At 40.3% G+C, this 24,093-nt stretch overlaps 1 protein-coding gene across 6 annotated transcripts in view, besides 1 other annotated feature; it reads left to right on the forward strand.

Moving 5' to 3' along the window:
- The window catches only part of SKIL (SKI like proto-oncogene), a 39,135-nt gene that overhangs the window by 4,988 nt on the left and 10,054 nt on the right, over nucleotides 1-24,093 (forward strand). For 5 of the 6 annotated variants that reach the window (XM_005247721.2, XM_006713735.2, NM_005414.5 and 2 more), the window contains 2 exons: nucleotides 18,542-18,639; nucleotides 21,831-22,063. In XM_005247721.2, coding sequence (XP_005247778.1) covers nucleotides 18,542-18,639; nucleotides 21,831-22,063 — 331 coding nt within the window. The remainder of the gene's footprint in view (nucleotides 1-18,541; nucleotides 18,640-21,830; nucleotides 22,064-24,093) is intronic. The other variant, NM_001145097.2, reaches the window with a different exon arrangement.
- Nucleotides 21,815-22,015: a silencer, noted in NCBI's record as "peak4917 fragment used in MPRA reporter construct". NCBI's record gives its function as "represses an SCP1 promoter by STARR-seq MPRAs in K562 erythroleukemia cells {active_cell/tissue: K562}" and the evidence as "EXISTENCE:reporter gene assay evidence [ECO:0000049][PMID:32103011]".

Here is a 24,093-nt window from a genome sequence, read left to right on the forward strand (position 1 = left end):
TACTTGGGAGGCTGAGCCAGGAGAATCGCTTGAACCTGGGAAGCGGAGGTTGCAGTAAGCCGAGATCACGCCACCACAGTCCATCCTGGGCGTCAGAGTAAGACTCCATTTCAAAAAAAAAAAACACAACCACCTATCAGCCAAGGTATCATAATTTTATTTTTCCTGCTGCATTATCTAGTAGGCTAAACTATTATTTTCATTCCAAGGTTTTGAATGCCGAGGTAATGGACAAGATTGGGATTATTAAATATTTAGTTTCTTGATCGGGTTGTTTTATATTTTTTCCTATTTGACTAAAATTAATGTGTAATAACAGTTCCTAACACTAAGTGTTTAAAATGTGGCAAACATTATTCTTGAGCAGTTTTACATATATAATTTTATTTAATTCTTAACAAGAGGTTGGCTGTGTTTCATTTAGGAACTTTGAATTTTTCCACTATTAGTTTTGATTCCTTGAAATATCCTTGCCCATTTCTATTTTACAGAAGAAATGAATAAAGCATATTAAATGACTGACTGAAGGTTTATTCACAGCAAAGTTAGAGCTTGGACTAGTCCTTAAGACTTGGGATCCTGAGCTTTATTCTGGTGCCTTTAAGGTTTTGAGGGAAATTTAGTTAACAGTGTAGTTTAAGACATTGGTTAAGCCTAATGAAGATAATAATTTTAGACTCATTTATGGTAGTTTGCTGCTTGCTGCTTCCAGAAGACCAGCACTTTGAAATTTCTTGCCAGTGGCTGCTAGATAAGTTTATATTCTTCAGGTGTAGTTATTAACTGATTTTTTTTTTTTTGAGACAGAGTTTCGCTCCTGTTGCCCAGGCTAGAGCTCAGTGGCGCGATCTTGGCAGATTGCAGCCTCCGCCTCCTGGGTTCAAGTGATTCTCCTGCCTCAGCCTCCTGAGTCACTGGGATTACAGGCATCAGCCACCACACCCTTTAATTTTTGTTATTTTTAGCAGAGACTGGTTTCGCCATGTTAGCTAGGCTGGTCTCAAACTCCTGACCTCGGGTGATCCACCCGCCTTGGCTTCTCAAAGTGCTGGGATTACAGGTGTGAGCCACTGCTCTCGGCCTATTAACTAATTTTAAATCAGGATTGACTTCAAGCCAGTGCTCAGTGTAGAACTTGCTTACAGTTGGACTTGTCCCGTGCTGAAGTTTGTGCTCAGAGATTATATTTCAAAATGTGGAATGCCCCTTTTGATATTTGTGATATCTTGCCCCCAAGCTAATTAGGTGCTGTACTTTTTTTTTTGTAGAGACAAGTCTTGCTCTGTCGCCGAGGCTGGAGTGCAGTGGCACGATCTCGGCTCACTGCAACCTCTGCCTCCTGGGTTCAAGCAATTCTCCTGCCTCAGTCTTCCGAGTAGCTGGGACTTCAGGCGCCCACCGCCATGCCCAGCTAATTTCTTTTGTATTTTAGTAGAGAGGGGGTTTCACCATGTTGCCCAGGCTGGCCTCGAACTCCTGAGCTCAGGCAATGCGCCTGTCTCTGCCTCCCAAAATGCTAGGATTACAGGCGTGAGCCACCATGCCCAGTGGTGGTCTACTCTTACATGTCTGTTGGAGGCCACATTTGCCAGATATTGTTGCTCCCGTCTTTTTTTTTTTTTTTTTTTTTTTTTTTTTGAGACAGAGTTTCGCTCTTATTGCCCAGGCTGGAGTACAATGGCGCGATCTCAGTTCACTGCAATCTCCACCTCCCAGATTCAAGTGATTCTCCTGTCTCAGCCTCCCAAGTAGCCGGGGTTACAGGTGCCCACCACCATGCCTAGCTTGTTTTTTGTATTTTTAGTAGAGATGGGATTTTACAGCCTAGCCGGCTGGTCTTAACTCCTGACCTGAGGTGATCCGACCTCCTCGTCCTCTCAATTGCTGGGATTACAGGCATGAGCCATGGCGCCTGGCCCGCCCCAGTCTAATTATTAGTCTGACATAAGTGTATTTTGGATAAACTACTTTTCCTAATATTCTTGCTCTGTGTTTATGTGAAAAACATCTGAGAACCATGATAAAGGTTTAAAAAAAAAAAGATGATGGATTAATTTACTTAACTGAAACAATGTGCTGAGGTTTGGTTAACACTGAAACCATCCTTCGTCTGGGATGTAATCCCTTTTTGTCCCAGAATTCACTGATTTGAATACATTTTCGATTTTAGGAAGGTGTGAGTTTCTTTCTGATCTTTTTGCTGTGTTATATTTTGCAGTATTTGAATTAGTGTTTGTGGTGTATTTTGATATTGCTTGTAATTTTATGTGAATTTGAGAAATTTAAAGGAATTTAAGAAAATTTCAAACACCCATACTTTAAGAAAGATTCTTTTCTTTGGTTCATATTTAATACGTACTTGAGTGGTTGTTTTATTATGCTTACCACTTCACGTTTTAAAAACGTACTCAGAACATTGTGAAGTACACTTATTTTTTAGGGTCTGTGAGGAAGGTGAATGACAATATTTCCACCTCTTAGATGAGTCACATGCTCCTGGTTGTATAACCAGAATCAGGAGTTGAATACAGGGCTTCTAACTCGAAGTTTAGTAATTTTTCACTATTTGCCCCTGAAGCACATGTTAGTAGCAGAAACTGAATTTTGAGAAACATTAACTTTTCTTATCAATTTACCTTAGTACAGGTTGAGCATCCCAAATCCAAAATCTGAAATGCTCTAAAGGCCAAAACTTTTTGAATGCTGACATGGCACTCACAGGAAATGCTCATTGGAGTATTTCAGATTTTGATTTTTGGATTTGGGATGCTCAACTGCCATATCGTGCACATATTCCAGAATCTGAAAAAATCAGAAATTCAAAATACTTTTGGTCCCAAGCATTTCTGATAAGGGATATTCAGCCTCTATGATGGTTCTCAAACTCTGTTTTAACCTGCATATAAATTTAAATACTAAGGTATTTAACTGAGAATGAGATAGTCCTTGACTGAGGAACAGTTTTTATTTTCTTCTGTGAGTCATTGAGTTGGTTGCCAAACAAGCCAAATTGACCCAGAGGGAGCTCATTTTAAAAAGTCAAACTAGGCTTTTTTTTTTTTTTTTTTTTTGAGATGGAGTTTCGCTCTTGCGCCCAGGCTGGAGTGCAATGGCGCGATCTTGGCTCACTGCAACCTCCGCCTCCTGGATTCAAGCGATTCTCCTGCCTCAGCCTCCCAAGTAGCTGCAATTACAGGCGTCTGCCACCATACCCAGCTAATTTTTTTATTTTTAGTCCAGACGGGGTTTCACCATGCTGGCCAGGCTGATCTTGAACTCCTGACCTCAGATGATCCACCTGCCTCGGCCTCCCAAAGTGCTGGGATTACAGGCATGAGCCATTGCGCCTGGCCTTTTTTTTTTTTTTTTTTAAGACTGTACTAAATATATTAACGTGTTATGTAAAGGACCTGATGTTTGGTGTGAATACTGACATGATTTGACATGCGTATATAGTTTATGTAATCAAAGTATTGCTTTTGGATTAAAAAAAGTCCTGAAACTCAGTAAGTTGTTCGAAATGAAACAACTTAATTATTTTACAATTATAAAATATGTAATATATTAATACATTTTAATGTTAATAAGTTGTAGTATCTTGTAAATTATAAATAATTTGAAATGAGACAACTTAATTAAATATAGCTAATAACTCTTTCTTACTCAAGTCGCCATAAGAAATATACTTGATTTTAGGCCAGGCGCGGTGGCTCATGCCTGTAATCCCAGCACTTTGGGAGGCTGAGTTGGGTGGATCACCTGAGGTCAGGGGTTCGGGACCAGCCTGGCCAATATGGTGAAACGCCATCTCTACTGAAAATACAAAAGTTAGCAGGGGATGGTGACACACGCCTGTAATCCCAGCTACTTGGGAGGCTGAGGCAGGCTTGAACCCAGGAGGTGGAGGTTTCAGTGAGCCGAGTTCACACTGCCCTTCATCCTGGGTGACAGAGTGAAACTCTGTCTCAAAACACACACACACACACACACACAGACACACACACACACACACATACTTGATTTTAGATCTGCCTATGTTGTTCTACAGAATGTTGTCAAGTTACTTACCTGATACGAGCTTTTTGTGTTTTTTATTGGAATAATCATTATTTTACTTTAAACTGTATAAATACATGCAAACATCACATTCCTGATTCTTTTTCACATCTTCAGTGGATATTCAGCAAAATCAGAAGTAGATCAAATATATGTAAACAAAAATAGAAAATTAAAATAAATTTGATCTAATTCTAATTTTGTTGAATATTACGTTTGTATGAAAAAAAGATCAACAGGCAAATTAATCATTTGTAAATAAAATTTGAAGAGTAATGTTTACTTAAGATTATTTTCAAACATATTGGAAGTGGTCATTTGTTGTAGGTGATTCTTCACTTTTTTTGTTTGTTTGTTTGTTTTTTTTGAGACGAGAGTCTCGCTCTGTTGACCAGGCTGGAGTGCAGTGGCGCGATGTCAGCTCACTGCAAACTCCACCTCCCAGGTTCACGCCATTCTCCTGCCTCAGCCCCCTGAGTAGCTGGGACTACAGGTACCCATCACCACGCCTGGCTAATTTTTTCTATTTTTTTAGTAGAGACGGGGTTTCACCGTGTTAGCCAGGATGGTCTCGATCTCCTGACGTCGTCATCCTCCCAAAGTGCTAGGATTACAGGCGTGAGCCACTGCGCCTGGCCGATTCTTCCCTATTGTAGCATGTGGCTGACAGTCTCCACTTTACTAAGTTAAGAACTATATATACCCTTTTTTTTTTTTTTTAAATTGAGATGGAGTTTCGCCCTTGTTGCCCAGGCTGGAGTGCAATGGCGCAATCTTGGCTCACTGCAACTTCCGCCTCCCAGGTTCAAGCAATTCTCCTGCCTCAGTGTCCCTAGTAGCTGGGATTACAGGTGCCTGCCACCACACCCAGCTAATTTTTTGTATTTTTAGTAGAGATGGGGGTTTCACTATGTTGGCCAGGCTGGTCTCGAACTCCTGATCTCAGGCAATCCACCAGCCTCAGTCTCCCAAAGTGCTGGGATTACAGGCGTGAGCCACCGTGCCTGGCTAAAATTTAAACTTTTAACATTTAGACTGGACTACTCTTAGGTAAGTAAAATATTTTAGTTTTTAATCTACTTAGGGGGGAAAAATCTCTATAGATTACTTATGATACAAACAGATGACCTAAAGATAGCAACTTAAAAAATTTTTTTTCCCTGAAAGCGTATTAGCCGTTTGAGAGTTTAATTTTGCATTTTCGTTTCACTTCTTCATTTCTGTAGAGATCATTGGAGTAATAATAGTACAAAATATTTCTCCCCTCTTGCAAGCTTTTAATTATACTTGTATTAGGCAGCGTATTTGTCAGTATAAACCTAATTGAGATAAGGAACAGTAGAATGGGCAACTACAAAGAGTTGTGTTGGGACAGAATGTGATCTAGTAATAATTGTGGTGGATTTGATGGTGATTTGCTACCCCAGTGATACAGATTATATTTTGCAATTAGCAAAATTTTTGATCAAGTGGGGATAAGTTGAGAGTCAGATGAAGTATTTGTGCTCATATGAGGGACCATTATGAATACTTTTGTCTAACTTTCTAAAATTAGTAACTGTTCCCACTAGTTTACAGAGTATTTTTTCTATTTTTTTGGAACCGAGTTCAAAGCCTGGCATGTCAAAGGCACTCAATTAAATTTTTCTTTTTTTAACTGAATAGATTTTTGAAAAATAACACTAAACTATATTTTAGAATATTTGGATTTTCTTTTAAAGATGGCTTAACCTTTAAACAGATACAATTTGCACATAAACTGTTAATATAATTCATCAAACAAGAGAATGAGCATTTTGGAAGTTAAGAGCCTTTACTGCAGAAATGTAGGATGGTATTTCAAACTACTATTGAAATATTATGTATTTGAGGAGTCCTCCTTTCCTCATTTTCTTATCTAGAATTATATTTCTGAGACAAACAAGATAACTGAATGTTGGGTTCAAATGTATCTCATTTATAGTTTTTTTTACACAGTAATTACAGTAGTTGGATATTTGCTTACTAAAATGAAGTGTGCAAGAAGAAAGTGTGAAACAGTTTTTTTATTATAGAAGCATTTTCTGAATTATTTCATTATTTTCGACTTGTTACCCAAAAAGATACATTGATTGGAGATAGTGCCCATTCCATTTATTCGGTTGATACCACATTGGGGTTTTGAATGATGGAGACCAATACAGACCTGCTTAGATTGGATAAGGTTTTGTTTAGTGCCTTTCTCATTTTTTACAAAACGACTTTTATAATAACTTCAGAGTAATCAAGTTTTTGGAGCTCATTCTGTTAATAACAGGATATGTGGACCCTCCCTATCCCTGGCATTTTTTTTTTTTTTTTTTTTTTTTGAAATCTGTAGAGTGGCTTTGCAAATAGTGCCCCCTGTGGTTTAGGAAATAGAGCCTCTTTATTTTTATTATTAAAAAATAGAATTGTTAGCATATGATTTTTGAAAGTTAGAAATTTATCCTTTTTGTTTGAGAAATGGGAAAAAACTTAGAAACTTTAAAGAAGAAAAACAAAAAAGAGATGGCCGTGTTTTCAGAGTAGGCCTGGATCATCATAGTCAGCCAGTAGTTTTCTCGTAGCAGTGCATATGTTATCAATTATGCCACTGGGAAACCAAAGAAGTAATCAAGAATTGGGCTAATTTTTTTTTTGATAAGGAGTTTTGCTCTTGTAGCTCAGGCTGGAGTGCAATAAGGCAATCTCGGCTCACTGCAACCTCCGCCTCCTGGGTTCAAGTGATTCTCATGCCTCAGCCTCCCTAGTAGCTGGAATTACAGTCATGTGCCACCATAGCTGGCTAATTTTTGTATTTTTTGTAGAGATGTGGTTTCACCATATTGGTCAGGCTGATCTCGAACTCCGTACCTCAGGTGATCTGCCTGTCTCAGCCTCCCAAAGTGCTGGGATTACAGGCGTGAGCCACCGCACCCAGCGAATTGGGCTAATTTTAATCCCTTTAGAATTCTGGGAGTGGAAAGTGATTGTCGAGCTAGAATTCAGTTTGTTCCTAGTAAAGGGGTAGAACTTGTTTGAGAATAGCTTTGGTAATAGCTTGAATCTGTATTTTGTTCACATATAGAATTTTATTCTACTGGGATTCATATTACATAAAATAAGGATTTTATTAGACTCTAGAAAGCAAAAGAATATATAAACAATGCATCTTGTTGTAAGATGTGATTTGCTTCCGGCTGCGCGCGGTGGCTCACGCCTGTAGTCCCAGCACTTTTGGGAGGCTGAGACGGGCGGATCATGAGGTCAGGAGATCGAGACCATCCTGGCTAACATGGTGAAACCCCGTCTCTACTAAAAATACAAAAAATTAGCCGGGCGCGGTGGCAGGCGCCTGTAGTCCCAGCTACTCGGGAGGCTGAGGCAGGAGAATGGCGTAAACCCGGGAGGCGGAGCTTGCAGTGAGCCGAGATCGCGCCACTGCACTCCAGCCTGGGAGACAGAGTGAGACTCCGTCTCAAAAAAATAAAATAAAATAAAATGTGGTTTGCTTCAATCACTAACTCATTATATTAGGCAGAAAGAATGAATAGGAAAGATATAAAATTAGTTTGAGTCCTTTTGATTTCATGACTTCTAGACTTAAGAGTGGATCATAGAAATATGTAATATTTCTATATATACATATATATGTATATATACAGAGAGAGAGAGAGAGAGCCCCCCCCCCCCCCCCGAGCAGGAGTTCATCTTATAGTCTTACAGTCTTCTTATATCTTACAGTCTTCGAATCTAGAATGTGGTAGATGCCTAATAAAGGTTTGGATAACAGTGAAGTCTAAGTGGCCCTATAAAGTTACCAGTGATTCTCGAAGAGGGAAACAGGTTTAGTTTTAAAACAAACCAGCATTTCGTTTTTATTTGTGATGTTGAATTTATTCTGAGATTTCAAATGGCATTAAAAGTACATATTTTGCATTTTTTATGGGAACAAGGAATTAAAAAGCTTAAGAAACTTACTAAAAGTTTGGGTAACATAGTTTGACCCTGTCTTTACAAAAGATTGAAAAAAACAATTAGCTGGGCTTGGTGGGGCATGCCTGTAGTCCCAACTACTTGTGGGGCTGAGATGGGAGTATCGCTTGAGTTGGGGAGGTTGAGACCGCAGTGAGCTGTGATGGCACCTCTGCACTCCAAGCTTGGGCAACAGAGCAAGACCCTGTTTTTCTCAAAAAAAACAAGACAAAACAAAACTTAATAAAAATGATTTAAGACTTCTATGCTTTTTATAGTCTATGTTAAATTTTTTTGTGTGATTATGAAAACAATATAGGCCCATTGTAGTAAATACTAAAAAAGTACAAAGAAGAAAACACAATTTCCTCATAATTGCACCATGTGATAACTGCCTCTGGAATTTATTCATTTGCGTATGTAATTGTAACTGTGTTTGTGCAAAAGCATTTCTAGAGTGCATAAGTATTAATAAAGGAGTAGTAGGCCTGGTGCGGTGGCTAACGCCTGTAATCCCAGCACTTTGGGAGGCCAAGGCAGACAGATGATTTGAGGTCAGGAGTTCGAGACCAGCCTGGCCAACATGGTGAAACCCCATCTCTACTAAAAATAATAATAAAAAAAATAGCTGGGCATGGTGGCACACGCCTGTAATTAGAGCTACTTGGGAGGCTGAGGCAGGAGAATTGCTTGAATCCAGGAATCGGAGGTTGCAATGAGCGGAGATCGTGCTACTGCACTCCAGCCTGGGCAACAGAGTGAGACTCTGTCTCAAAAAAAGAAAAAGAAAAACAAAAGGAGTAGTTACTGGAATAATACTTTTGGACCAATTTTAAGACAGTTCATTTAGAGCAGTGTTTTTCTAACTGCAATTTGTCATTCATGTAGCCATCTCAAGCAGGGTTCCATAAGGGGAGATTTAAGCACTACAGAAAATGAATTGAGTGCTGGTTTTGTCATTTCTCCCAGTGATCGTACTGGTACCATTCTAAATGCACTGGAGAGAAGGTAATTCATTACATACAATGGATGCCTTGGGGCATTTTAAATTCTCCTGAGAACCTCAATTGAAAACCGCCAGGAGGGTCATGAAATCAATTTAGTGGGTCACCAGCATTAAAAAACATAAAAACCTGAAGTAGAATAAAATGGAAAATAGAGGACATTGCACATAGGAAGATTAATCAATCTCTGTTTTGAAATTGCCAGTTTACATTATTTGAAGGCCAGAATAATCCAGGACTGTAAATTGTTAAGCATATATGCTAAAATGAGATAGAAAAGTAAAGCCTTAGAATTATACAGATTAAAATTTTTGACAAATAGTGGAAAATAATGTGTATGACACTGAGATTTCCATGTAGTTGCAGTATTAAGTTTATTGGGCATCACAGACCTTCAGTATAAAATGTCACAGGATTAACAGGATTTTTATCAGTGTATTTTTCTTCAAGTTCTAAAGGGGATGTTATATTACCAACTTTACATGGCTTTGTTTCCATTAAGGACTCAAAATAATAGTTGCAAAATATTACAAGAACTCGAGCCTTTGCATTTTCTGTGAGCATTTTTAAGTATCTCAAACCTAAAATTGGCTTTGTGAGGTAGGTGGTATGATCTTTCAGCCTGTGGAAACAGCTGCCATTGCTGTGACTCCTGACGATCTGTTTTTGATCAGTTAGTGCAGATGCTTAGATCATACTGTCCCAGTTTTGCATTAATTTGATCAATTCTATTGATTACAGAGAAGTGAGGCCCAAGACTAAGCCTTGAAATCTCTAAGTAGCTATTTGCTACCTTGTAACACTGTTCTGTTTCATTTATTGAAACACTAACTCACAACATGTTGGAAATATTAAGGAAACCTGATAGTGTACTGAGGGATTCTGTTTCTTTTGGTAAGAGTTGTTGGCAGCTATCTGGTAGGGTGTCTTTATACTTCTGAAATCATTTATTGACCACTTGAATGTCTTAGTATTATACACAGCAAAAAGACCCTGATGAGATATATTCACTTCCTGTGTATCCAGTCATATGTTTAGTAAGGTTGCTAATGATTTATTTTGGGTCAGAACAAAGTAATGTGCATTTCATATGCATTATATTTTATTTCTTGTGTAAATAGGCCATTAGGGAGATAGACTATTAAATTTACCAACCTACACTACTGCTTCTGTCTTATGAACACAAATTTAAAAATTAATCTTTATCACTTATAGCACTTTAAAAATTCTGTTTTTAGAAATAATTTTCAATTTTTTTTTTTTTTTTTGAGACGGAGTCTCACTCTGTCGCCCAGGCTGGAGTTCAGTGGCGTGATCTCGGCTCACAGCAACCTCGACAACCTCCACATCCCAGGTTCAAGCGATTCTCTTGTTGCAGCCCCCTCGGTAGCTGGGACTACAGGCGTGCACCACCAGGCCCGGCTAATTTTTTTATTTATTTTTATTTTTTAGATAGTCTTGCTATGTCGCCCAGGCTGGAGTACAGTGGTGTGATCTCGGCTCACTACACCCTCCACCTCCTGGGTTCAAGCGATTCTTCTGCCTCAGCCTCCTAAGTAGCTGGGATTACAGGCATGAGCCACCGTGCCCAGCCTTTATGCCTGGCTAATTTTATATTTTTAGTAGAGACAGGGTTTCACCATGTTGGCCGGGCTGGTCTTGAACTCCTGACCTCAGGTGATCCTCCGCCTTGGCCTCCCAAAGTGCTGGGATTACAGGTGTGAGTCACTGTGCCTGGCCTTCCGGCTCATATATTTGTAAAAAGGCTTAATTCTGATTTTTGTTGGAATTTTGGAATTCCCACTAGTGTTTTGAGGCATTATCTTGGTTTCTTTAGTTCATTAATGTTTGTCATTAGGACTTAATTAAAGATCAAAATAGTAATCTGATGCTGTAATTAAAAATTAGAGTGCCACCTAAAAGCAAGATTTAGTATTTGAAAATAAGTTCCAGCTTGGGCAACATAGTGCAACCCCTGTCTCTACAAAAAAAATTAAAAAAAAATTAGTCAGGCTTGGTGGCATGGGCCAATAGTCCTGACTACTCTGGAGGCTGAGGCACGAGGATCCCTTGAGCCCAGGAGTTGGAGGATGCAGTGAGCTATAATTATACCACTGTTCCCCAGAGCAAGACCCTGTCTCAAGGGAAAAAAAAAATGTCTAAGAATTTTAAAGGGTTTTTTTTGGTACAAATTCGAATACTTGTATGAATAATGCTGAGCAGGTGGAATAGCTTTTGTATTTAGAAAGGAGTGACAAGAAGTTTTTTGTAAATGAAATCAAGCTCTCTAAATTATTTTTCATTATGAGACTGATTAGCATCGTATCACTAAAATAGAGTGGTTCTTCATTAGGAAATCTGATTATCAAAGGGTCACGTATACAGAATAAGCATAGGAAGGTGCAGAAATTTAGAGAAACTTTCATAAAATGTTTCTTAGTTTTTACTTATTTTATATTTTTTTACTGTATATTTTGGAATTGTTTAAATTGTACATTCATAGACATTTGGAGTTTTATGACCTAAGAGGAAAGAACCTTTGGAATGAAATTTTTGTGTCTGAAATTTTGCTTATGTGTTTGAAATGAGGATGCTATCTGTTCATTTTGGGGTAAATAATGATGGGGAAATTGGGTGATAAGAGCATTTTGAAATGTTAAGGCTCTAACTTAAGCTACTAAATGATCCACTTCTTTGGCAAGTTATATAATGTATTGTATTTTAAAATTTAAATACACATAAAAATAAATGATTCCTATGTTGAAAGGTAAGATACCAGGCAGTAGATACTCATAATTTGGTATCTAATTTTTATTCCTGATTAGTAGCATTACTGCTGAACCATTTAATTATATTGTTCTTTTTTTGAAAACCTAATTTGTATGTTGACACAAATGCAGAATAGATGAGAAAATCTGGCATGCCTCTGAATGTTTTGTTGTATCATAAACATTGTGCTTTTCTTAATTGTTTTTAACATACAGTTAGGATAATTTGTTATAAATGTGTTTATGGCTTACCACAGCATATTAGGTAAAATTAGCTTGCAACATTTTATCATGGTTAGTGTTGTGCGTGTCCCCATCATTTGTATTGTTTAATTTATATCTCTGAAAAATGCAGCCTTAGAAACTGTTGGGCTTCCTTGGTGCTTCATGGAGTAGAGGGATATCAAACGTGAAAGAGACCAAGAGTTTTGTGGTAGCAGAATAACCTTGTAAAAGGCTACCTTGGGAATTAATGAGCTGCACTGTCATTCAGAATTCATTCAACAAATAATAGATATTTGATAGATGAGTCCCTACTACATGCTAGGCATATAGTGCTAGGTATTAAAAATACAAAGGTAAGGCTGGTTCTTGACCTCAAGCTGCTGTTTAAGCAGAGGCTGCGTAGCCACTTAACAGGGATTTTAAATAGGGAATTCAGACATTGGCTAGGGGACTATGCTAGGTGATCTTTAAGATTCCTTAGAAGCTCTAGTCTGACTCTTACTGGGTTGGTCAAGACTAGGAAATAAAATAAAGAATAGGAGCTAAGAGGGATGACTGTTTAAAAATAAAGGAATGTGCTAGCAGTTATTTAAGGTGGCACCTGAAGTTTAGAGACACAGAAATAAATAGATGCTAGGTTTGGCTCATGAGTAAAGATAAAACTTACTCTTATAAATCAAACTGTAGGGTTTTGAAATGAACTTGATCAAAATTGAGTCAGATTTCAAGTCAAGGTCTTTGAGCAAATTTAGAATTTGCTTGATATTCTGAAGATTTGAGATTCCAGTATTCATTATAGGAAAAACTTTGAAATATATAAATCAATTTTAGTAATTTTATATTTTTTTCTTTTTCTTTTTTCGAGACAAGCCCCACACTGTTGCCTAGGCTGCAGTGCAGTGGCAGGATCATAGCTCACAGCAACCTCAAACCTGCCAGCTTCAACTGATTCTCCCACCTCAGTCCCCTGAGTAGCTGAGACTACAGGCATGCGTCACCACGGCTGGCCAATTAAAAACAATTTTTTTTGTAGAGATGGGGGTCTCTCTATGTTGTCCAGGCTGGTTTCGAACTGCTGGACTCAAGCAGTCCTTGTGCCTTGGCCTCCTAAAATTCCGGGGCTATAGGTGTGAGCCACTGGGTAGGGCCAATTTTAGTAGTTTTAATTTAAAAAATCTGGAAACAATTGATTTCTTGGGCAGTACATCTAGAATTCTTTCAGATATAACACTTATTTAAAGAGGAGCTTTCTTTGTTTTTTAACAAATGATGTCTAGAAAAGAAATTCTCATTTAATTCAAGCTGATTTTCCTTTTTTTTTTTTTTTTTTTTTTTGAGACGGAGTTTCACTGTCTTGCCCAGGCTGGAGCGCAGTGGCGCAATCTCAGCTCACTGCAACCTCCACCTCCTGGGTTCAAGTGATTCTCCTGCCTCAGCCTCCCGAGTAGCTGGGATTACAGGGATGCACCACCATGCCCAGCTAATTTTTTTTTTCTTATTAGAGATGGGGTTTCACCATTTGGTCAGGCTGGTTTCGAACTCCGGACCTCAAATGATCCACCCACCTCGGCCTCCCAGAGTGCTGGGATTACAGGTGTGAGCCACTGTTCCTGCCCTCAAACTGATCTTAAATTTTACTGATTTGTTAGAATGAACTTATCCTCGTTCATTGACACCTCTTTGGTCATGTAGAGCTGGGGTGCAAAATGTTCTACCCGTTAAGCTACTTTTTAAAAGCATTGTGTTTTTTTAAAAAACTGTTTTCATGAATTGTAAAATGTCTGAAAAAGTTTTGAATCTAAGTGGTATACAGAACATAATTTAGCTATGTCACGTTGACTCAAGAGTTTTTATTTTTTTAACGAGACAGGGTCTGGCTCTGTCACCCAGGCTGGAGTGCCATGGAGCAATCTCAGCTCACTGCAACCTCTGTTTCCTGGGCTCAAGTGATCCTCCTGCCTTAGCCTCCCAAGTAGCTGGGACTACAGGCACACATCACCTTGCCTGGCTAATTTTTGTATTATTATTAGAGATGGGGTTTTGCCTTGTTGCCCAGGCCAGTCTCAAACTCCTGAGCTGAAGCAGTCTGCCCACTTTGGCCTCCCAAAGTGCTAGGTAATATCACAGATGTGAGCCGTTGCGCCTGGCCAACTCAAGATTCTTAAACATTAATTACCATACTTTGTTGAATTGGGGTAGGGGACAATTGAGATATATTAAATTATTTGCCCCGGTCTATGCTAAAGCCTTTACTCAGATTGTCTTGCTTTTTGAAGCAGTTTTTGTGTTTGCATCTTGTAATTTTCCTCTCTCCTTAGGCTGTCAGCTGTCACTTAGCATCTATCATTTAGTATTTCTGTTGCCAGAAGTCAGTTCCCTTTCTTACTGCTATAACTAAGCTATAGGCTGAGGAACTATGTAAATAAGTGATCAGTTTGTTTTATAAATAAGCAGTGGAATTTGCCCAGATTCTGAATATTAGTTCAAAATGTGATGTTTCGTTTTCTGTTTTCCTTTTTTTTTTTGAGATGGAGTTGCACTTTGTTGCCCAGGCTGGAGTGCAGTGGAGCGATCTCAGCTCACTGCAACCTCTGTTCCCCTGTTTCGGTTGATTCTCCTGTCCTCCTAAAGTGCTGGGATTATAGGCATGAGCCACTGTGCCCAGGCCTTTTTTTTTTTTTTTAATTCCACATTTACATATCATGTAGAGACCTTCACTGAATATTCAACTCTTAAATCTTTTAAAAATATTAATTTTTTTCTTATAATTTTGAGGTCTTATTAGTATTTCAAATTCATTGCTCAATAATTCTTTTTTTTTTTTTTTTTTTTTTTTGAGACAGAGTCTCACTCTGTCACCCAGGCTGGAGTGCAGTGGCACGATCTCGGCTCACTGCAACCTCCGCCCTCTGAGTTCAAGCGATTCTCCTGCCTCAGCCTCCTGAGTAGCTGGGATTACAGGCGCCTGCTGCCGCACCCGACTAATTTTTTTTTTTTGTATTTTTAGTAGAGACGGGGTTTCACCATCTTGGCCAGGCTGGTCTTGAACTCCTGATCTCGTGATCCACCCGCCTTGGCCTCCCAAAGTGCTGGGATTACAGGTGTGAGCCACTGTGCCTGGCCTAATTCTTAACAAAAATAAAGATCTCCCACATACATATTTTTTTCTTTTTTTATTTTTGAGACAGAGTCTTGCTCTGTCACCCAGGCTGGAGTGCAATGGCGCCGTCTCGGCTCACTGCAATCTCCACCTCCCAGGTTCAAGCGATTCTCCTGCCTCAGCCTCCTGAGTAGCTAGGATTACAGGTGCGTACCACCACACCTGGCTAATTTTTGTATTTTTAGTAAGACAGGGTTTCACTATATTGGCCAGGCTGGCCTTGAACTCCTGACCTCGTGATTTGCCTGCCTTGGCCTCCCAAAGTGCTGGGATTACAGGCGTGAGCCACTGTGCCCTGCCTATTTTTGTCCTTTAGTTGGCCCTAAGTCATCTCCTGACTGATCAGATTTTAAGATACATATTCTAAGAGCGGTTTCCTTTCTGTTTTCAGCCTGTTTTGTTGAGGGCAGTGGGTTACTTGTCAGATCTCTCCCAGGTTTCTTCATTCTCATTGATTTCCTCCATTAGTAGGATCTCAGTAATCAAACCAGAGTTTGGATAGTTTAGAGTTGATTTTGTTTTAATCACTACTGCTTAACATCCAGAGATCTGTTTGCAGTCCTTAGTTTCTTGGTTCCAAACTGGAATATTGGGACATCAGGCAAAACAGCTTTGCTACTTTCCTAATTTGTTGAATTGGGAATTGGACTCTCTCTCTCTCTCTTTTTTTTTTTTTTTGGAGACAAAGTCTTGCTCTGTCACCCAGGTTGGAGTGCAGTGGCGCGAACTCAGCTCACTGCAACCTCTGCCTCCCGGATTCAAGTGATTCTCCTGCCTCGGCCACCCAAGTAGGTGGGATTACAGGCACTCACCACCATGTCCAGCTAATTTTTGTAGAAACGGCGTTTCTCCATGTTGGCCAGGCTGGTCTCAAACTCCTGACTTCAGGTGATCCACCTCCCTCAGCCTCCCAAAGTTACAGGCATGAGCTGCTGCACCCGACCAGAATTGGAGCTTCTTTTATTTATTTATTTATTTATTTATTTATTTATTTTTTTTATCTTGAGATGGATTCTGGCTCAGTTGCCCAGGCTGGAGTGCGGTGGTGCAATCTCGGCTTACTGCAGCCTCCGCCTCCTGGGTTCAAGTGAGTCTCCTGCCTCAGCCTCCCGAGTAGCTGGGATTACAAGTGCGTACCACCATGCCCAGCTAATTTTTGTATTTTTAGTAGAGACTGGGTTTCGCTGTGTTGGCCAGGCTGGTCTTGCTCCTGACCTCAGGTGATCCACCCTTCTCGTACCACCACGCCCAGCTAATTTTTGTATTTTTAGTAGAGACTGGGTTTCGCTATGTTGGCCAGGCTGGTCTTGCTCCTGACCTCAGGTGATCCACCCTTCTCGGCCTCCCAAAATGCTAGGATTACAGGCATGAGCCACTGCGCCTGGCCATGGAACCTCTTAAAGGTAGGGTTTAGAGAAATATCCAGCTCTCTTTTTTGTTTTTTCCCTTGTTTAACTCGTTCCTAATCGCATTCTCCCTCAGTTTCCTGGGTTTGTCTGTTAACTTCCTATTTTTGTTGGTCACCTTAACCATGCCACATTTCAGCTCTCCTTTCCTTCTTTCCCCTTTCCCTTACCAGTGAGTCTTGCCCCCCCTTTTAAGTATCCTTTTCCCACAAAAGCAAGGTAATTTCGTATAATAGGAAATATGTAGGGGATGAAGGGAGGACAAAGTGTAAATAAAGTAAACCAAAATAAGGGAGAAGTTAGTAACCACAGATCATTTATTCTTTTTTTCTCTTCAATTTCTTTTTTTGTTTTGTTTTGTTTTTTGAGACGATTCTTGCTCTGTTGCCCAGGCTGGAGTGCAGTGGCATGATCTTGGCTCACTGCACCCTCCATCTCCTGGGTTCAAGTGATTCTCCTGTCTCAGCCTCCCGAGTAGCTGGGATTACAGGAGCGCACCACCATGCCTCGTTAAGTTTTGCGTTTTTAATAGAGATGGGGTTTTGCCACGTTGGCCATGCTGGTCTCGAACTCCTGACCTCAGGTGATCCACCCACCTCGGCCTCCCACAGTGCTGGAATTACAGGTGTGAGCCACTGAACCGAGCCCCTCTTCAATTTCTGAACGTCAGTTGTTTTCTCATCTGTAAAATGGTAATGATACCTATTTAATGGGGGATATTTGTTAGAATTAAGAATGATGTATAAAGTTCTCAGCCCGTAGATGTTCATTAAGTTACCAGTTACCTTTCTCCTTATTTTTCTTTATTTTTAGTTATAGCTCATCTTTAAGTATTAAAAAATCCTTTTTATATTTATTAGGAAATATAGTTTAATGACAAGTGTTAGCAAACTATGTGGTTTTGGATTTAATTTGGCAAAGTATTGCTGTAGAATGGTATCTAGCTAATATGCTAACAAATACTGTAGGGATAGGGTATAGTCTAGCCGATTGTAGTACAGGAATAAGAATCAATTTTCCAGTGCTATACCTTTATAGAGTTCTATTATTTAAAATGGATTTCTGGCCAGGCTCAGTGGCTCATGCCTGTAATCCCTGCACTTTGGGAGGCTGAGGAGCAGGGATCACCTGAGGTCAGGAGTTTGAGATCAGCCTGGCCAACATGGCAAAACCCAATCTCTACTAAGAATACAAAAAATTAGCTGGGTGTGGTGGTGGGTGCCTGTAATCCCAGCTACTCAGGATACTGAAGCAGAGAATCGCTTGAACCCGGGAGGTGGAGGTTGCAGTGAGCCAAGATCGCGCCACTGCACTCCAGCCTGGGTGACAGAGCGAGACTCCATCTCAAAAAAAAAAAAAAAATAAATAAATAAAATAGATTTCGTAAGTATGAAATTTGATGCAGTCATTTCTGGTACTCCATGTTAGCATGCATACTGAAACTGTTCTTGTGATGGGATAGTTCATGTGGGTGTCTCTGAGTTTCAGGTGATAATCAGGCTTCTTCAAGGGAAGACTGCCTTATTGGAAGATGACTCTTGAGACAGGGTCTCACTCTTGCCCAGGATAGAGTGCAGTGGTGCAATCATGGTTCAATCATGGTTCACTGCAAGCCTCAACTTCCTGGGCTCAAGGGATTCTCCCACCTCAGTCTCCCAAGTAGCTGGGACCACAGATGTACACCACTGCAACTGGCTAATTTTTTTTTTTTTTTTTTTAAAGAGACTGGGTCTTCCTATGTTGCCCAGGCTGACTCCACGGCTTAAGGAATCTTCCCCACTCTGCCTCCCAAAGTGCTGGGAATACAGGTGTGAACCACTGTGCGTGGCATGATGACTCTTAAATAATGTTAGTTGTCTTTACCCAGTGGCCCAGTCAGGTTGACACATAAAATTAACCTTCACAGTTTTACTTCAATAAATGTTTCCCTTCCATGTTTTTCTGCAGACAGATGCACCATCAGGAATGGAATTACAGTCATGGTATCCTGTTATAAAGCAGGAAGGTGACCATGTTTCTCAGACACATTCATTTTTACACCCCAGGTGAGTTGGTATTTATTTGTTCGTTTGTTCATTCATTTCTTCATTCAACAACTATATGCCATGCACTATTCTAGGACATGGGAATTTAATTATTTATTTATTTTTTTTGGTGGCAGAGTCTTGCTCTGTTACCCAGGCTGGAGTGCAGTGGCGCGATCTCGTCTCATTGCAACCTCCGCCTCACGGGTTCAAGCGATTCTCCTGCCTCAGCCTCCCGAGTAGCGGGGACTACAGGCTCACACCACCACGCCCTCCTAATTTTTTTAGTTTTAGTATAGATGGGGTTTCACAGTGTTGGCCAGGCTGGTCTCGAACTCCTGACCTCAAGTGATCTGCCTGCCTCAGCCTCCCAAAGTGCTGGGATTACAGGTGTGAGCCACTGTGCCTGACCACGAATTTATTTCTTTATTTTCAGGCTTTCTTGTTAATCATAGATTATCTTTGAAAATTCAAAATTAGGCTGGGCGCGGTGGCTCATGCCTGTAATCCCAGCACTTTGGGAGGCCGAGGTGGGTGGATCATGAGGTCAGGAGATCGAGACCATCCTGGCTAACACAGTGAAACCCTGTCTCTACTAAAAATGCAAAAAAATTAGCCGGGCCTGGTGGCGGGCACCTGTAGTCCCAGCTACTCGGGAGGCTGAGGCAGGAGAATTGCTTGAACCTGGGAGGCAGAGCTTGCAGTGAGCCGAGATCGCGTCATTGCACTCCAGCCTAGGCGACAGAGCAAAACTGTCTCAAAAAAAAAGAAAAAAAGAAAATTCAAAATTATTTTTAAATAAGTACATTGGTATTTAATGTATTTTTTGTTTCTATTTATCATTATAGGGAAATGGTAGGTGAATTGTATTGTTACTCTTATTAGAAAAAATTTCAAAGAAAGAATCTGAAATGAAATGAATTGTAAATTGCACTGAATATTTGAAATAACCTTTACTATGTGTTTCTATGTGTTTTCTAGAAATAGGTCATTTTCTTTTTGCCCTCAAGTAAAAAATGGAAGTTCTCCTTTAATTTCTTACTTTTCTTCAAGAGGTAAACAAACTCTTCAAGAATTTGGTGTGCAACTTTGATTTTTTTTTTTTTTTTTTTGAGACAAAGTCTCACTGTGTTACCCAGACTGGAGTGCAGTGGCAGGATCTTGGCTCACTGCAACCTCTGCCTCCCAGGTTCAAGCAGTTCTCTTGTCATGGCATCCTGTAGCTGAGCCTGAGCGCCAGCTGTCACTCCTGGCTAATTTTTTTGTATTTTTAGTAGAGATGGGGTTTCACCATGTTGGCCAGGCTGGTTTTGAACCTCAGGTGATCTGCCAGCCTTGGCCTCCCAAAGTGCTGCTAGGATTACAGGTGTGAGCCACCGCCCCGAGCCGCAACTTCAATTTTTTTTTTTTTTTTTTGAGATGGAGTCTCGCTCTGTTGCCCAGGCTGGAGTGCAATGGTATGATCTCGGCTCACTGCAACCTCCGCCTCCCGGGTTCAAGCATTTCTCCTGCCTCAGCCTCCTGAGTAGCTGGGATTACAGGCATCCGCTGCTACGCCCAGCTAATTTTTGTATTTTTAGAAGAGACGAGGTTTCACCATGTTGGCCAGGCTGGTCTCGAACTCCTGACCTCAAGTGACCCACCTGCCATCAGCCTCCCAAAGTGCTGGGATTACAGGTATGAGTCACTGCACCCGGCCTGCAACTTTGATATTTTAAAAAGAAATTCTTTTGAAACTAAGAGCTTTCTTAATAACCGTACTTCTCAAAATCAGAGTTTTACTGTTTCAATAAATGTTCACCCTAGATTGTAAGTTTTTTGTTGTTGAGCCCTAGATTTTTTTCTACTAGTGTAAATCTGTATTCCCTCCAAGTATGGTGATAAGGGGACTGAGTCTTATTTACATTTGTACAATCACTACTTTACCTGTTGTATTTGCAGTAAGTCTTTTGAGCCCTATTAAACCTGTCAATTTTCTTGTCCTGTCAGAAAACTGAGATTTTGGCTCAAAAATGGATGTTATTAACAAAGGGGAACAATATAGATGTCTTAGTACAAAGAAAATGAAATGTAAGAGGAGATTGTCTGGAGTTCAGGGGATAGAGTGTCAAGTCTTAAATGGTTACATCTTTTTGCTAAGTGTTACTCAGAATATAGTTACAAATATGGTACTTAAATATCTAGCTGAAATTTGTTTGTCCCATGAGCTTCTCACATGAGTCTACTGGGCAATTTTATGTGAGTTTTGGTCAAAATTGGTAATCTCTTTTATCTTAGTTTTGCATAATTTATTGTTGCCATTTTATCAAATGAGTAGGAAGTAGTGAAGTATTTCAAGAAGATTGCTCAGTGGGGTTTGATACAAGAACTGCCCAGTAGCTGGGCGACATTCAGAGCTCTCTCTCTGAGGTATATAAGAAGAGCCCTGGGAGCTCCTCACTGAGCCTCCTGTGAGTCAGGACATAGCCTTGCAGTCTGCCACTGAAGCAGCCTCACCAAAGCAAAGATTCCCTGCTTTGGAAGGGTGGTGGGCAAGATAAAGTCCTCCAAAGTAGTTATAGATTATTCTTTTTCTGGAGTAAAACTTACCTGCTCAGAGTTGTTACACAGCTGTATAAAGTCCTTAATGCTTTTAATTCTCAGGTGGTTTTGAGGGAAGGAGAAGAGCCTGTGATTTTCCTTCTGTGTATCTTTTTAGTGCTTAGAAATTACTTGCCAAAAAAAAAAAAAAACACGAAATTACTTGCAAGCTGGTTATGGTTGCTTATGCCTGTAATCCTAGTGCTTTGGGAGTTGGAGGTGGGAGGGTATCACTTGAGCCCAGGAGTTCAAGACCAACTTGGCAGCATAGCAAGACCCTATCTCTAAAAAAAAATGGGTATGTGTGGTCCCAGCTACCTGGGATGCTGAGGCAGGAAGATTGCTTGAACCCAGGAGTTAGAGGTTACAGTGAGCCATGATCATACCACTACGCTCCAGCCTGGGTTACTTGCAAACTAACAAAAAATCCCTTATAATTTTGTTTGTAATGCCTAAAGTGTTGATTTTTTTCCTAAGAATTCTTTACTGTGACCTTTATTTTCTGAGTTGTAATATTGTCTGTTTTGGTTAGAAAAAAAAAAGTTTAACCACAGAAATGCATGTTACATATTTGATTTTTACTTAATTGTAATATGTAATATATGTCTTGTTTTGCTTTTACTTGTTTTCAGCTACTACTTATACATGTGTGATAAAGTGGTTGCCCCAAATGTGTCACTTACTTCTGCTGTATCCCAGTCTAAAGAGCTCACAAAGACAGAGGCAAGTAAGTCCATATCAAGACAGTCAGAGAAGGCTCACAGTAGTGGTAAACTTCAAAAAACAGTGTCTTATCCAGATGTCTCACTTGAGGAACAGGAGAAAATGGATTTAAAAACAAGTAGAGAATTATGTAGCCGTTTAGGTAAGTATTCAGAGATTATCTTTCTAAAATTAAATATCTAATGAACACATTTATTGAGCATTTTCAAACAGGCTTTTTGTTTGAGCTAAATTTTCAGATAATTGGAGCTTTTACCTTTAAAAATGCTACCCTTCAAAACTCTGGGTGATTTATTTTAATCTCAGTTGCTATACTTTTCTAGCGTGGTGATAGCTCAGGAGACTGAGATAGATACAGGCTACCTGGCCTCAGACTGCAAGTTATTTTTGTCCGAATTTTTTTCCTTTCCTACCTTTTATTTGCTGTCAGTCTTCAGGAGATCCTTGTTTTTCTTTCCTCCTTTTTTTTTCTTTTTTTGTGACAGAGTCTTTATCGCCTAGGCTGAAGTGCAGTGGTGAGATTGCGGTCACTGCAGCCTCAACCTTTGGGCTCAAGTGATCCTCCCACCTCACCCTCCCTAGTAGCTGGGACCAGAGGCGCACACCACTGTGCCTGGCTAATTAAAAAAAAAAATTTTTTTTTTTTTTTTTGTAGAGATGGTCTTGGTATGTTGCTCAAGCTGGTCTCGAACTCCTGGGCTCAAGTGATCCTCCTGCCTTGGCCTCTCAAAGTGTTGGGATTACAGTTGTGAGCCACCGCACCCAACCTTTATTTTTCTTTCTGATTTGCCATGAACTGAGACACCATTTAATAATAAGAAGTATTATGTAAGTAAGAGTAGTTAGGTATAGAACTCAAGGAAGCTTAGTTATGGAATAAAGCAAGGATTGAAAGCTCTGGGGGCCAGGCATATAGCATAAATGTGGAATATTGACTGGTCATTTAAAAGAAAAATAGCTGGTTACTTACCGTGCCTTTTAAAATACTGTGGATTAAATGAGACATGTCTGCAGATATTGCCTGTGTTACCATCCATATAGCAGCACAGCTTTGCTTAGTGATTAGGCAGTGTGACAGTTACTTTAGCTGCATTGGAACAGTTGGAGGGTCCTCTATTTATTTAAGTTTTTATAGAGAATTGAGATTCTTGGGGGTTTTCTTTTCTTTCTTTCTTTCTTTTTTTTCTTTTTTTTTTTTGAGGAGTTTCACTCTTGTTGCCCAGGCTGGAGTAAAATGGTGAGATCTCAGCTCACCGCAACCTCCACCTCCCAGATTCTCCTGCCTCAGCCTCCTGAGTAGCTGAGATTACAGGCATGCACCACCACACCCCGCTAATTTTGTATTTTTAGTAGAGACGGGTTTTCTCCATGTTGGTCAGGCTGGTCTTGAACTCCTGACCTCAGGTGATCCGCCTGCCTCGGCCTCCCAACCAAAGTGCTGGGATTCCAGGCGTGAGCCACCACGCCTGGCTGATTCTTGGGTGGGGGTTTTCTGGTTTTTTTGTTTGTTTGTTTGTTTGTTTGGAGACAGAGTTTCGTATTTGTTGCCCAGGCTAGAGTGCAACGGTGTGATCTCGGCTCACTGCAATCTCCGCCTCCCAGGTTCAAGTGATTCTCCTGCCTCAGCCTCCTGAGCAGCTGGGATTATAGGCATGCACCACCACGCCCGGCTAATTTTGTATTTTTAGTAGACACGGGGTTTTTCCATGTTGGTCAGTCTGGTCTCGAACTCCTGACCTCAGGTGATCCGCCTGCCTCGGCCTCCCAAAGTGCTGGGATTACAGGCGTGAGCCATCGCGCCCGGCCAGGGGTTTTCTATACATTTATTTTGAGGGTTTTTTGTTTCGTTTTTCTTTTTTAGAGACAGAGTCTCACTCTGTTGCTCTAGGCTGGTGGAGTACAGTGATGCATTCATAGCTCACCGCAGCTTCAAATTGCTGGGCTCATAGTCCTTGCACCTCAGCCTCCCTAGTAGCTAGGACTACAGGCATGTGCCACTGCGCCTGCCTCATTTTTTCATTTTTTTTGTAGAGACAGGGTCTCACTGTATTGCCCAGGCTGGCATTAAGCTCTTAGCCTCAAGTGATCCTCCTGCCTTGGCCTCCTAAAGCATTGGGATTACAGATGTGAGCCACCATGCCTGGCCAATTTTGAGATTTTTAAAACTCAGTT

The sequence above is a fragment of the Homo sapiens genome, chromosome 3 (assembly GCF_000001405.40).
Source record: "Homo sapiens chromosome 3, GRCh38.p14 Primary Assembly".
Taxonomy (NCBI): Eukaryota; Metazoa; Chordata; class Mammalia; order Primates; family Hominidae; genus Homo; species Homo sapiens.